Raw genomic sequence first — 15482 nt, 5'->3', positions numbered from 1 at the left:
ACTGGGCGCCACATAAAGCAATCCCAGTTTTCCAGATGTACAAATGTCAGATGCATGAGCAGTGCTTTGCAAAATGCAATTTCCCTTTCAAGATGAACACTTTAAGGGCCTTGAAAAGAGACTGGTTTTCTCTTTCAGATGCTGCCTATTGAAATGGATGTGGAAGCAGCTCTCAAGGTCAGGGCTGTGAGCTGGAAGCCTTCTCCACGTTGGTAAGGAGTCTGCATGCCGCCTGGCACCCCACGTAGGCGGGTGGCTGAGCTCATTCCCCAGGTGCAGGCAGGCGAGAAATGGAGCAAGTGATATTGGCCATGGACCCTGACCCTGGGAAGGGTCCTCGAACAGTCTGACCAGCTTCTGACACAGAGGGCATGTGCAATAATACTTAGGAGGGATTTGTCCAGGATGGCTCAGAAATACTCCTGGGTTTACAACTTGGAAATATTTATGAAAAGAACTTAGATTGACCTGTGGCTTTTAGACCTTAAAGGACAGGGTTGAGGACAGCCAGATAGAGCTGTCAGACCGTGCCCCAATGTGGCTGATGACCCGTGACCTACAGGAGAAAGGACGGGTCACACCATCTCAGGTTGGACTCACAGCGGGTCGCCCCGGATAAGCCCCCTGGTGTGCTTTCCCCTGAACTTGGCATGAGATCTGAATTCAGCCCTAGCTCCCAGCCAGGCGTGGGCTGACTCCCTGCTCCCCCTCCCCAAGGCTGCTGCTTCCCTGGGCTTTTTTCAGTTCTTTGGATACAGCTGCGCCTTCCACCCCAGGACCTTCACACACGGCTGATCCCCCAGAGCCCTTGCCGGAGGAGCTCATTCCTGCTCCTGTTTCAAGTCCAGCTTCCAGGCCCCCTACAGCCTCAGTCCCTGTGGCCTCCCCAGGGGCAGCCCTGCTGTTCCTGACCTCAGCCCCCTGTTAGTTTCCCTCATAGCCCTTATTGCGAACTGTAATTCTTTGATTTGTGTATTTTTTCTGTCTGTGTCTCTCCCCGTCCCCACCAGACAGAAAATTTCATGAGGGCAAGAGATCATATTGTCTCTGCTATGGTCTAAATATTTATGTCCCCTTAAAATTCCTTTGTTGAAACCTAACCCCTTAGGTAACGACATTAGGAGGCGGGGCCTTTGGGCAGTGATGAGGTCGTGGGAAGAGGATCCTCGTGATGGATGAGTGCCCTTATGGAAGAGGCTTCAGGGAGCCTGTTGGCCCCTTCCGCCAAGTGAGGACACATGTAAGGCACCATCTGTGAGGAACAGGCCCTCACCAGACACCCAATCTGCTGGCGGCCTGATCTTGATCTTGGACTTCCCAGCCTTCAGAACTGTGAGCAGGAAGTCTCTGTTCTTTATAAATTACCCACTCTAAGGTATTTTTGTAATGCAGCCCCAGTGGACTAAGACAGTCTTATCACTGCTGAGTGTGCAGTGCCTCTTCCTGCTCTGGGCACATAGTAGGTGCTCATTAAATGTTTGCTGAATAATGGATGTGTGGGAAAATTGAAGTAATGAAAAGTCAGAGACCCTTTGGACGTTGTGTGGAGTTGGCTCTGTGTCTTCTGAGATGTCATTTTAATCCTTTATCACAGTGAGATGGTTGTTGGAATGCCCTGCAAAGCTCCACCGATTCCAAAGGGAATGATCAGGATGATCAGCTCCTGGACTAATGTCCAGGTACTGCTGCTGCTGTGGGGTTCTGGGAGACCTAAACAGGAGCAGCTTCCCTGCAAGATTTTATCTAATATTTGAAGACAGGGTGTGTCCATGGGGTGCTTCATCTGAAGAGGAGGAGTGTGAAGCCTCTCCCAGTGCACTTACTGAATGGGAAAGACACCAGGAGATTAAACAGCCACATTCTCATCCATCAGGGCACAGTCTGGGTTCAGTAAATGCTTTTCCCCCTTTCTTAGCTGTTTCCATGAACCAGAACCAGCGGGCTCTCCTCTGTAAGGAGAGAGAAGGTGGGTGCATTCCTGAGTGGTCACGCCTTCCCACTTCCCCAGGTAACTACATGGTGAGGCAAAGAAACAGTTACTCCCTGGACGCTTCAGATCACACAGGGCTGGTTGCAGTCTCTTCCATGAGCATGTTTATCTAACAGGTGATTTGGGGGCTGGGCGTGGTGGCTCACGCCTGTAATCCTAGCACTTTGGGAGGCCAAGGTGGGTGGATCACCTGAGGTCAGGAGCTCAAGACCAGCCTGGCCAACATGAGGAAACCCTACCTCTACTAAAAATACAAAAAATTAGCTGGGCATGGTGGCGGGCACCTATAATCCCAGCTACTCGGGAGGCTGAGGCAGGAGAATCGCTTGAACTTAGGAGGCAGGGGTTGCAGTGAGCCAAGATTGTGCCATTGCACTCCAGCCTGGGCAACAGAGCAAGACTCTGTCTCAAAAAAAATAAATAAATAAATAAAAGAGGTGATTTGGAATGTGGCATCCAGTGGGTGCACACACACGAGTCCTCAGTCAACCTACACGTCACCTCGTCCTCGCTCACTGCTGCAGCCTCACCCAGCACAGCCGAGGATCTCTCCACTTACACTTTTGCTTACTTGGTAGAAAAATGAAGCTCAAAGTATATGTTAATGTGCCCAATTCTCAGTAATTTCTCCTCTGGGATGTAGGATTTTTGCCTCCACCAAGTGAGCCAAGGTTATTTGAATAACAACTTCTGAGTCAACATAAATACTCACTTAGAGAAAAAGTCAGCAATGTTTCTGTTTTCAAAACTCCTTCCTAGACATTTATTTACCATAAGAAAGTCAGCACGCTTTATTGCTGGGATCTAACAAGGCCTAAGGAGACATCTGCTCTGCATGCGTTGGCGTTGGTCTTCTTCTGACTGGAACCGGCAGAGCGCATCTTCTGGGCCTGGGTGGGTTTTCTCTTCATTTTTTCTTTGTTTTCTTTTTTTTTGAGACGGAGTCTCGCTCTGTCATCCAGTCTGGAGTGCAGTGACGTGATCTCGGCTCACTGCAAGCTCCGCCTCCTGGGTTCATGCCATTCTCCTGCCTCAGCCTCCTGAGTAGCTGGGACTACAGGCGCCCGCCACCACGCCCCGCTGATTTTTTTTGTATTTTTAGTAGCAGCGGGGTTTCACCGTGTTAGCCAGGATGGTCTCGATCTCCTGACCTTGTGATCCGCCCACCTCGGCCTCCCAAAATGCTGGGATTACGGGCATGAGCCACCGTGCCCGGCCGGCCCTGAGTGGGTTTTCTAAGGGTAACATTCAGATTGTTGCTTTTATTAGATTATATGTCTAGTTCTCCTTCCTCAAATTGCAATCCGAGCTTGACTGACAAATGTGCAAATTCACAGATTCATCGTTTCTCCTGACCTCATGTCTCCATTCTGACACTGAGCAGTAATTGTAGTGCAATCCCCAGGCAAGGGCCATCCCCAGAGCTCCTGGCCTTTGCATGGGTCTTTCCCACCCTGAAGGCAATTCACCCTCAGAGTCATCAGGTAGTTTTGCTCATGGCTGAATTTGAGGCTCAGCACGTGCTTTTGGCCCAAGTCCCACGCACAGATTTGCTGATGCCTGGTTACTGTGGGTGGGCCATGGGGCCAGATGTGGGAAATGCCCCCACACACATCAGAGCTGTTCTGCCTTTCCCAACTGGAAATACTGCTTCTCATTTTGAATCAGAGCCCTGGTGAGCCACTTTATCCTTTCAGTATGGTGTACCTGAGGGATTTTCAGTAAATATTGGCTCTTCGATATTGCCATTGGGTGACCAGAGCAGAAGAGAATCCAATCTTACATCCTCTACTGCTAAGGACATTTTCAACAGAAACTTTGGGACTTCTCTCGAAAGATCCTGAGATCCTTTGCCAACATTAGATATCACAGACTCCTCTGCCCCTTTCCCACTGTTAAGCAAGAACGATCCTTTTGCAAATGTATGCCCTGGCAGCAGAATGCTAGTCCAAGGGCCCCCTGAAGTAGATATTTTTAAAGTTACTCATTACATAGGTAATGTGGGTTCTGAATATTTGACATTAAAGAATGTACAGAAGTTATTTGGGGGTGGCATGAATGACTTAGTGTGAGAACCCATGCTGCCCATAGCTTCCGCAACTGCCGCCTGCTCTGCCTGCCAACACCTGGTTGCAGCTGCCCCTATCCGGCTCTCTCCTCCCCACCTTTGCCCATTCTCCCACCTCGAAACCAGTCTAGATGTTGATACTACATTTTTAGGCTAACAAAACCAAGAAGGACAAGGTTTCTACAACTGGCAATGAGTTTAAACGGGCAACTAGTGGCCGTCCATTTAAAATGAGAAAGAGCTCTGCAAGTTAAAGTCCATTTTATTGTGTGAATTTTTAGCAGTGCAGTGCAGTGGTGTTCTTTTGCATACGAAGATTGATGAATCCTACACAGGGAGAAAAAGATTTGACAGCAGTTTAAGGAGACGTTGTTAGCAAAAACCAAGGCGAGCCGAGTAAGTGGCTTCTCCCCGAAAGCAATTCTTCCCTGTCTAATCTCTTTTTGCAGCTCATTAGTTCTCTGGGAATCAGAAAAAGGTTGTTTCCCAATTATCCCGCCACAGGGGCACATCATGGATGGAAGCCGGGGCTCCGTGGCACAGCATGTGAATCGGCGCGACCCCATCCCAAGAGCCAGGGCTCTCCTTATCTCTGTTGCCTGGGCCCAGCGTGGTGCCGTGGATGTGAGAGTTTAGGCAGGACCACGGCCCCGGCTGTTTGTTTGGGAGGCACTTGGCACCAAGGCCATGCCTCTTATTACTACCCGTGGCCTTGAGCAAGCTCATGAACCTCTCTCAGCCTCAACTGTCACGTTGGTAAGAGCTTCTCGGCAGTGTTTTGAGAATCAAGTGCCTGACCCACGGCAGGCACCTAACACATGCTCCATGGCGCATGGGCAGAGGTGTGTTCAGGGCACAGTCTTAAAAATGACAACGGGCAACTTTTGGTTTTTGGCAACTTCAGTACAAGCAATTTAAGTTTCTCTGGGGCTCACCTCACATGAGGCACAGGATTGATGGGGGCTGGAAGCAAGCCGTGAGATAAGGGGTGTGAAAAAGCGCCCCACTGTTACAGATCACGAGCAGGGACAGTGCTCCCCAGATGGCAGGGGCTCCTCTTCTCCAGCAAGGTAACTGCTCAAGCCAGGACCTCAACCTCAAAGCAGCAGCAGGAGGCGATGGGCAGTGGGTTCTCTGACTACACAGGAGGCCGGTGGGAGGGGAGTCTGAAGGGGAGAGTCAAAGGCAATGCCCATTCTGCCCTGGCCTGGGGACAGGATCCTTCAGGCAGTGGTGACATCTGTCAGGCGTCAGATTGGTGGAGCAAGGAAAATGAGTGGGAACGAGTTCTATTCTGAGTTCCTGGAGGCTTCTCCCTACAGGGGACATTCTCAGAGAGCTTAAATTAAGGCAAGAAACCAGCTCTCCAAACTTTCAGGGTCCGAAAGTGAAATATCACTTTGGGATTTTGGAGATACTCAAGACTGTGGGAATGACCAGCGCATGACCCCATCTTAAACCACGGCTCAGCTCTCTGGGGTCCATCAGATGTGATGGCATGGGCTCAGAGCCATCACAGAACCAAGGGCAGTGGCCTCTGAGTGGTTTGTATGCAGGAGCAGTGTTTTGAAAATGGCTGGGCGTGGTGGCTCATGCCTGTAATCCCAGCTACTCAGGAGGCTGAAGCATGAGAATCGCTTGAACCTGGGAGGTGGCAGAGGTTGCAGTGAGCTGAGGTTGTACCACTGCACTCCAGCCTGGGCGACAGAGCGAGACCCTGTCTCTACATAAATAAATTAATTAAATGTTTTGAAAGTGACCCCTTGAAACTCTGTCCATCATCAGACTCTGCATTTAGTAAGTCCATGTTTATTCAAGAACTTCTAGAAAATGAAGAACTTTTCAAACTTTCATTGCATCAGTTGGTCACCAGGAAGGGGATTTCCTCAGGATGTGAAGGGGGAGTCTTCTTGCTTTTAAACTGGCATGATAGAAGGCAGAGGAGGCACACTGGGGCGGTGTTGCACTAATCCCAGCATGCCCGGGCTCGGGCCAGGCAGGGAGCTTTGGCAGAGGACCCTCTGCACGCTTCCTCTCCTCTAGCCAGAGCTTCTAGACTTGGCTGAGAGATGTGACCTGGTCCTGGCTCACGGAGGGCCCTGGTGGAGTGAGAGAACTGGAGAGTGGCTCCCTTGGTCAGGTGGGGGATGTTTCAGAGTCATAAATGAAGGCAGGTGTGGGGAGGAGCCAGGCCGCTGTCCAGGTGCAAGGCCAGCTTTGCCTTCGCCTTCCCTCCCTCGCTTAGTTGACCCCCATGAGCTCTAACCTGGGGGCACTGACGGTCCTAAGACAGGCTTAGATCTGGCAAGGGGGTGTGGAATGGTTTTGCTGTTAGTAACCCTGGGGTCCAGGGAGTCCCAGGCGAGTGCTGGCCTCAGCCGGAGGGCTCCAGCTGTAGCTCTGCTGAAAGGCATCCAGCCTTAGTGATGGGCTGCCTTTCTGAGACTCCTGGGGGCATGCAGCTCCCCTGCTGGGGCACTGTCTGCTTCTGCTTTCCCTGAGCCGGGTGCCAGCCCATTCCCCATTCCCTCCAAGGCTTGGGACCACAACTGCACACCCTGCCACTGGTGGGAAGACCCTGCCCACCTCTCAAGATCCAGCCCAGGAGCAAAGCTTATGGAGCCCCTCCCTGGGAGTGGGGAGCCCACAGAGGCAGTTCCCGTCCCAGGCTGCCCCACCCCTCTTCCTTTCAGCCCCAGGCCTAGAAAACACTTCTGAGATGAACCGGGCCTAAGCTCTGAAGCCTTCCCTTTGCTCTGCCTCAACTTCCTACCTCTCTGTGGCTCTGCTCCTCTCCCAGGAAGAAGCGCCATATCCAGGGCAGGAAAAGGCTTCCATTCTCAAAGGCCAGTTGAGAGCTGTGAATACTGTGGGTGAGGCCTCCATAATTCTGTGGCCTGGGAACATTGGCACTCTATCTCCATGTCAGGCCAGCTAACCCGAAGCCCGTGTGTGTCAACACACATTTCGGGACCTGACAATCTGCCCCCCTCCACCCTTGCTCTTGGGCCTCCAGATCAGAAAAGCCCTGGAAGTTGCTGATTTTCAGGCTCTTCTCTACTCTTTTTTTCTTAACACTCACCCTGCCCCCGAATTCTCCTGCTGACCCCGCTTGCCCTCTTGTTTCCAGCCTGGGAGGGGCAGCCATTCCCTTTGCCTTCCCCAGGCAATCTCCCTGCCCTCCCTGCCCAGCCCTCCCGGTTGTAACTCTGCCTGTGGAGGGAGGCCCAGGGGCTTTTCAGCAGTGGGCTGGGAGCTTGGCTCAGGCTGAACTTGATGGTGAAGGTGCTGAGCCCTGAGGTCAGAGTGTCTTGGCCACAACTGGGGCAGATGCTGATGTTTTTTTTTTTTTTGAGATGGAGTCTCGCTCTGTCGCCCAGGCTGGAGTGCAGTGGCATGATCTTGGCTCACTGCAACCTCCACCTCCCAGGTTCATGCCATTCTTCTGCCTCAGCTTCCCGAGTAGCTGGGACTACAGGCACCTGCCACCATGCCTGGCTAATTTTTTGTATTTTCAGTAGAGACGGGGTTTCACCGTGTTAGCCAGGATGGTCTCGATCTCCTGACCTCATGATCCACCCGCCTCGGCCTCCCAAAATGCTGGGATCACAGGCGTGAGCCATCTTGCCTGGCCCAGATGCTGATTTTTAAATGCTCCTGGCTCTCCTTTCTCTTTGCCCCATTCCTGTTTCAGGGCCAACTGGCTCATCATGTCCCCTGACACTCAACTTTCTCCCCAGGTCACACCGCAGGCTGGCTGAGATTGTGAAAAAAACAAAACAAAACAAAACAAAACAAAACAAAACAAAACAAAACACAAAAACTACTGTGATGATTAGAAGCACTCTGAGATTCTTGGGCCAAAAAGCACTCGAAAAGCCCCAGCTGCTGGGGTTCCCCCTTGGTGGGAGGTGCAGGGCACAGTGTGATTGGGAGTAGGCCAGGAAGCTGCTGATGCCACTATGCATGTGCTCAGAGGGGCTGTCTAGTCCCAGGCCACCTTCTAAGAGTCACTCTAATGAGACCGATTCTCCAATAGGCTACACTGGACACACAGAACACAGCAGAGGAAAAACACACACATTTGGCAGATAACAGCAGAGAACACCAAGGGCTGTACGCTCTGTACCTCTCAGTAATGGGTCGTTGGTATCTGATTTAAAAGGAATTGCCTATGTGATATGGATGGATCTTAACTCATGAGGGCTCTGTGAGCTCATCCCAGACTAGAGGTTTGAGCTCTCATCAGGTAAGTCTCCTCTCTGAGTCCACAGCAAGCCTCAGGGTGGAAGGAATGAGGGACAAGGTGATGGTTCTCTCTAGGTGTCAGCCCCTGGAGGGGTCTGTGAGACCCAAAAAAGGAAGTGACCCAGGGCATGGAGAGAACAGATGCCATCCGGTAACATTCACCATGGGGAAACTCATCCTGGCCTGGCCCTTAGCCAGCACCTACAAGAGGCAGCACTGCCATGGGGGGCCCAGGCAGGATGCCACTGGCTCAGGGAGGCCCTGTGCTGGGAGCTGTGAGGGCTGGGTTTATGGTTCCTCCCCACAGCCTTGATGGCTCCTGAGCCCCCAAACAGCACACTCAACTATTCCCCTCCCCTGCTCCCAGGCTCTGCAGTGTCTGTGTTCACTGAAGCCAGTGACAGGAGGTCTTAGGGAGGCTGCACCCCTCACACCGAGCCCCTGGCCTCCCTGGACCCACCCAGCCCCTTGGGCTCATCTTCTTCATTCTGCTCAGCCTCTGCATCCAGCCCTGCCTCAGCACAGCCCCCCAGCAGTGGGGGGCTGGGGAGGTACTGGAGGAGCCGGCCTTCCCTCTTCATTTCTGCCAGCTCCTTGGCACAGCAGCTGGGTGTGTTGGTCTCATAGGTATCATGGAAGGTGTTGTAGTCCACCTCATAGAAGCCCTTTTCCAAGGTGAGGACTGGTGTGAATCGGTGGCCCCAGAGCACCTCTGTATCCATGTAGGAGCTCCGGGCTTGGCAGGTCATGCCTGGGGAAACGGAAGTTACATGCATTATGATGCAATCATCCATCCATCTATCCATCCATTCATCCATTCATCCATCAATCCATCCATCCATCCATCTATCCATCCATCCATCCATCCAGTCATCTGTTCATCCATCCATCCATCCATCCATCCATCCATCCATCTAATCATCTATCCATCCAACCATCCATCCATCCATCCATCCATCCAACCATCCATCCATCCAGATATGGAAAAAAAGGCAGGAAAGGGCAAAGATATATCCATCCATCCATCCATCCATCCATCCATCCATCCATCCATCCAATTATCTATCCATCCAGATATGGAAAAAAAGGCAGGAAAGGGCAAAGATATAGCCATCCATCCATCCATCCATTCATCCATCCATCCAATCATCCATCCATCCATCCATCCATCCAATCATCCATCCATCCATCCATCCAATCATTCATCATCTATCTATCCACCCAATTATTTATTCATCTATCCTTCCAATTATCTATCCATCTATCCTATCACCCATCCATCCATCCATCCACTCATCTACCTAATCGTCCACCCATCCAGTCATCCATCCATCCATCCATCCATCCATCCATCCATCCATCCATCCAATTATCCATACATTCATGCATTCCTTCAACCATCCAATCACTCATCAAGCATTTCATGAACATCTACTTTGTGCTAAGCATAGTGGAAATGTAAAGCTGAATAAGACACAGTCCTTGCCCTGGAGGAGTTCAAGGCGTAGTGGTGGCAGAAAATTAGAAATCGACATGCAAGATTCTGAAAGTCATTTCCTAGAGATTGGAGTGAATAGATGTTGGAATAGTTGAAGGTAGGGACTCCGTTCCTGAAAACAGCATTCAGGTCTAGAAGATTAAGATGGGAAAAAAGGCAGGAAAGGGCAAAGATAAATTCAGCATGAATGAACACGGAGAATCTGACAGGCATTTGGAACATATGGGGATTGTTTTGGGCGGACACATACGGAGAGAGGGCTCCACACTCACATACACACACACATACACACAGGAAGAGGAGCAGACGCACACACAGAGCTTGGCTTCTTGATTTGAGGCTGCTCCAATGCCTCGTTTCCCTGTCTACTCAGCCCGTGCCATGCCTATGCTATTTTTAGGTGTTGCTTTCTCTCCAGAGAGGAGGGCAGCTTTGTTTATGGATGAGGAGGCCTCTGTGCTTAGGGTCACAGGAAAGCAGCTTTCTGATATTTAATCTTCTGGCCAAGGAAGGCATTAACTGTGTTGGTTGGGTGCTGAAGGCAACCGTCTCCAGCTCCCACTTTGGGCTTTCTCTGGGAGGGGCTCATACAAAGCAGACCCAGGTCCAAGGCTGCTTCTCAGCCCCAGCGCACCCACACAGGTGCGCCCACAGCCTGCTCTCTGCTCTCAGTGATGCCTGCCTGGGCCGGGCCTCTCCCTTCAGTCGTTACCCTTGTTGTCCCCACAGCCTTGGCAGAGAGGCCCAAACCGGGCCCTGAGCAGCCTAGACCATGCCAGACGTCTGCAGCCTCCCAGGGCCTTGGGAAAGGTATGGGCAGGACCTTTCCCCTTTGGGATCCTCCTGCTCCTCATGGGGTGTGGCAGCGGCTGCCCTGTAGCTAGAGATCCTGGTGTGTCCCTGTCATTGCTCAATACGTTTGGAAAGGATTCCCCAGGTGTCAGGTATAGTGATCAGCACAGCTCCTTTTCATCTTGAATCCTCCCAACAGCCCTAAGAGATTGATTTTCCTCACTTTGCTGACAAGGTAAGCAGCTTGCTCAAACCCGCTCAGGCAGGATACGGCAGAGTTGTGCTACTCAAGCTGAGGCATGGATTCCCAGCCCACACCTGGCTGCATGTGCTTGACAACCAAACCACCCACATCCAGGACAGATGTGGGCCAGGGTCTCCTGCCCTATCTCCCTGGATCTCCCCTACAGTTTGTGGGACAGAGCAAGCATAGCCCGGGTTGTGGGAGGGGAAGGAGGCCAAACCGTGAGGACAAGTGAATGGCGGGCCCCTGACTTTGAGGGAGGTGTGGTTGGGGGTGCAGCGGGGCAGCGGGGCAGATAGCACTGGCTCCCTCCACTACGAGCCTGTGGGCGCTCTCCCTGCTGCATGGCTGGGGAGTGAGGATGGCCTTGGAGAGTGGTCAGGTGTGCTATGATTTGACCCCATGTCTCTCACCCAATCCCTTTTTTGTGGCTTCAGAGTGGAGTTCTTCCCCTGAAATGCAGCCTGTGTCCTGATTCTGACCCTGGAGGCAAGGGCAGGGTGACCTGCAAGCCCCTAGCTCTGTGGGGGAAACCTTCCTGAGTCCTGACTGTCCTCGGCCCCGGGGCTGCCCACCTGCCACCATATGCTGCCTGCCAGACTCCAGCCCCCAGCAGATGGCCGAGCAGCCACCTCTGGCACCAGTCCCTGGAGCTTGTCATTGCCCTCTCCTGGTTCCACCAACTTCAAAATGGGAAGGCTTGTGCAGTCTGGGTCTGAGTCCCCTGCCCGGCAGCCAGCTTCCTGGGGGCTGGAATGTGTGCTTGGCCATCTTCCTGACAGGCCGCTAGTATTTTAGTGGGGCAGAGTGGTGAGAGAAGCTCCAGATTTGTAAGTGGAAGAGCTGAATATGAACACTCACTGTCTACATAATGCTTTTTAGGTTCAGCCTCGACATCTGTAAAATGAGACTGAAGCCAGCCCTACACTGTCATTTGCAAGAATTGGAAAAATAGACATGCATCATTCTGAGCGTGACTGAGTTTCTAGAACCCATCCTTAGGGCCTGACCAGCTGCTCATTGTACCTGGTTGAAAAAAAAAAGAGAGAGAGAGAGAAAGGAAGGCACGAGGAAGAAATGAAATATGCAGGATGTGGGGTTTTGCTGCGAGTGGGGTGGGGACTAGGGTCCTCTGCCAGAGTTCAGGCGGTCCCAGGCCTTGGACTCCCTGGAGCCACCTCACAGAGGTCTGCCATGGCTGAGTGGCTGAGGAACTGGGGGGTCCTTGGCTACCAGCTGCTGGTGAGTCAGTAGCTGAGCAGGGAGGTGCCATGCTGGCCACACAAAGGGCATTTTCTTGGGCATACATGGATGTTGATGCCTCAGCATGGATGCACTGTTTTTTTGTGAGAAAGGAGCCTCACCTGCCCTGCGTTCACTAAACCAACCTTCTGCAAGAATGCTGAGGGCTGGCTGCCCCAGAGGGAGCCCAGCCACAAAAGCCCTTCCCCTGCAGCAAAGGTCTCTCCAAGTAAGGGGTTGGTGAGAACCTTTTGAGTTTAGGAAATTCTGCATCCCCTCCTCTCCCAGTGATGAGACTCAGTGGGTAAGGACAGCGAGAAGTCCACTGTAAAGAAACCAGTTCGCTTTTGTTTCGCCCTGTGATTACCAGAGCTATCTGACCAGGGAGCTCTTCTGGGTAGAACACTTGTTCCAAGAAGGGGCAGTTTGTCCTGTTGGAAACAAGTGCTGGCTCTGGGGTCCCTGGTCTCAATTTCCATCCTAGCTCTATCATTCGAAAGTGCTTGCTCTTGGGCAAATAATTTAGCCTGTCTGTGTCCCTGTGTCTTTATCTGTACCTTAATAAAAACTATCTTGGCTGGGCACTGTGGCTCACGCGTGTAATCCCAGCACTTTGGGAGGCCGAGGCAGGTGGATCACAAGGTCAGGAGTTCGACACCAACCTGGCCGACATGGTGAAACCCTGTCTCTACTAAAAATACAAAAATTAGCCAGGCGCAGTGGCGGGCACCTGTAATCCCAGCTACTCCAGAGGCTGGGGCAGGAGAATCGCTTGAATCCGGGAGGTGGAGGTTGCAGTGAGCCGAGATCGGGCCACTGCACTCTAGCCTGGGTGACAGAGCAAGACCCTGCCTCAAAAATAAACAAATAAACAAAACAACAACAACAATAACCCACTATATCTCATAGGGCGTGGGAGGACATTTGGCCAGATGATAGATGTTTATTGTTTAGGACAGTGCCTGAAAGTTGGGAAGTTCCTGTCAGTGTTAGCTATTGCTATTACTCAATCTTGAGTACCAGTACCCCTCAAACCACAATTTAGGGATTGAATGTGTTGCCTGCGCCACCCCAGGACTCTCAGGCACAGACCTGCATCTTCTGGAGTCACAGTTGCCTAAGTCTGAAGTGTAGGTAGGGCCACCTGTGGCTGAGGAGGACAAAGCGCCTTACCTGTGGCTTCCACCATCCCTTCTAGAATGACCACAACTTCAAACTCTTCCTGATGCAGCTGAGCCTGAGACATCTCCCAGAAAGGGCTCTTCTGGTTGATCTCATGGGAGATGATCAGAGGAGACACAAGGAAGAGGCGGTCGTCGCCCGTGTCAAAGCCCACGTTGATGTCTGTCTGGTTCAGGGGGATGAACTCCCCCTCTTTGGTCTGCCGGGACTTGATGAGCTTGGCCCGGATGGAGGCCTCCACGATGTGGGAGTTGCGGAGGTCGCCCACCCGGAACATGAGGCACAGCTTCTCGTCCCGCATGGAGATGACTGCGTTGTTGGAAAACATGAGGGTCTCCGCTCTCTTCTTGGGCTGGCTGATCTTGACAAACATGCACCCCACCATGAAGGCATTGACGATGGAGCCCAGGATGGCCTGGACCAAGAGGAGTATAATCCCCTCTGGACACTTCTCTGTGATGACTCGGAAGCCATACCCAATGGTTGTTTCGGTCTCAATGGAGAACAGGAAAGCGGACACGAAGCCACTGAGGTTTTCAACACAAGGAATCCACTCTTGGTCGCCAACATGGTCCAGGTCACCCCGGATATAAGCAATGAGCCACCAAATGAAGCCGAAGAACAGCCAGGTGACAGTGTAAACCATGGTGAAGACGAGCAAGTTGAAGCGCCACTTGAGGTCCACCAGGGTGGTGAAGAGGTCACTCAGGTACCGGTAGGTCTCCTGGACGTTGCCGTGGTGCACGTTGCACTTGCCACTCTTCTCCATGTAGCGCTGGCGTGGCTTCTTGCCCTCGGCCAGCAGGCGCGTACGGTCTGTGGCAATGGGGACATAATCGCGGGCCTGTTTTGGAATCTTCTTGGGGTCCCAGGGAGTGACTCCAATCTCCATGTCCTGGTTCATGGCATTCCTAGAATCGCCAGCCATAGCTGGGATGCTTTGAGTTAAAAAGACACCATCAGTGAAGTGGGCTGTTCTGATTCACTAGAACACAAGATGGAAGGCCACCCCCACCCCGGGGCTCTCCCAGGCTTCTCTTCTGTTATCCAGGGGTCAGGGCGTGAAATCCTCAAGGGCAGGGGCCTCACTCTCTTATAGGGTTCTTTTGTATCCCTGGTGCCTAGTACAGAGTCTAGCACAAAATAGATGCTTGCTAGCTGTTTGTTGAATGAATAAATGAACAATATCTAGGTGCAAACTACACATTAAGTGTTGAAAGGGTTTGAGAAACCTGGGAGCAATTTAAAAAGAATAATCACAATAGTTTATTAAATACCTACTGTGTCCCACGCATTACATGTGGATTGTGGCTTCTTATCGCCACAGCAATTCACTGGCATTAGATATTGGAATCCCCACTATATAAATACTATATTGTTTGCTTATGAATCAGGCTTAATTCAAACAGTCTCTCTCCCACCATCAGAATGTAAGCTCCACAGGGGCATAAGTTTGTGTTCATTTTGTTCTCTGGTATTCCAAGCACTTAGAACACAGCCCGGCACATGGATGTATTCAAAAAGTACTTACTGAGTAATTGGATGGATAAATAAAAAAACAGGCTTCCAAAGAGGTTAAGTGACACCCAGGCCACCAAATATCAGGCAGAGCTGATTTTTGGATTCCTGCTCATCTGGCCCAAGCCTGTGCTGTTTCTTTCATTCCTTGCTGTCTCTATTTATCTTGAGGTCTTTTAGCAGCAGACAGAAAGGAAAAGGCAGCATGTATCTGATTTGTCAATTGGTCACCCCTACCGTCTGAGTGTGAAGTCTGCAGCCATCTGAGTGCTTATTAAAATGACAAATTGCTGTGTAGGCCCGCCATTAGAAAATTTGATTCCCTGTCCTCTAAGAAATGGAACTGGACAGGATGTTAATGGCCCCAAAGCTCTTCAAAGGGCGTAATGTGTTTGTGGGGGTGCCTACCACACTTCCAAGAGATACCCACACACCTGCAATACAGGTGTCTGATAGTCCCCTCAAAACCCATTTAACGAGCTTTAAGACTCTCATTCAGTTGGGAAAGACCTCTTTAATTAACAATAACAGACAACATTTCTGAGCACTCAGAAGCCAGGAACTGCACTAGGAAATTTTTATCCATTGGCTGATTTAATCCTCACAACATGGTTAGATAAATACCATTATTATCCCCCCATTTTTCAGAAGAGAAGAATGAAGCTCACTTAGCATGTGACCAAGTGAGGTTTTGGGTCTA

The 15482-nt window shown here is 51.3% G+C and overlaps 1 protein-coding gene across 3 annotated transcripts in view; it reads right to left on the bottom strand.

Annotated features, from left to right (window-relative positions):
- The window catches only part of KCNJ5 (potassium inwardly rectifying channel subfamily J member 5), a 29808-nt gene continuing 18628 nt past the window's right edge, over positions 4303–15482 (bottom strand). For all 3 annotated transcript variants that reach the window (NM_001354169.2, NM_000890.5, XM_011542810.4), the window contains 2 exons: positions 13256–14202; positions 4303–9057 (listed from right to left, as the gene is read on the bottom strand). In NM_001354169.2, coding sequence (NP_001341098.1) covers positions 8735–9057; positions 13256–14192 — 1260 coding nt within the window. In that variant the 5' untranslated portion in view covers positions 14193–14202 and the 3' untranslated portion in view covers positions 4303–8734. The remainder of the gene's footprint in view (positions 9058–13255; positions 14203–15482) is intronic.

This window comes from Homo sapiens, chromosome 11, assembly GCF_000001405.40.
Source record: "Homo sapiens chromosome 11, GRCh38.p14 Primary Assembly".
NCBI lineage: Eukaryota > Metazoa > Chordata > Mammalia > Primates > Hominidae > Homo > Homo sapiens.
Note: the sequence above shows the minus strand (reverse complement) of the source record. Positions and strands in the feature narration are given on the sequence as shown.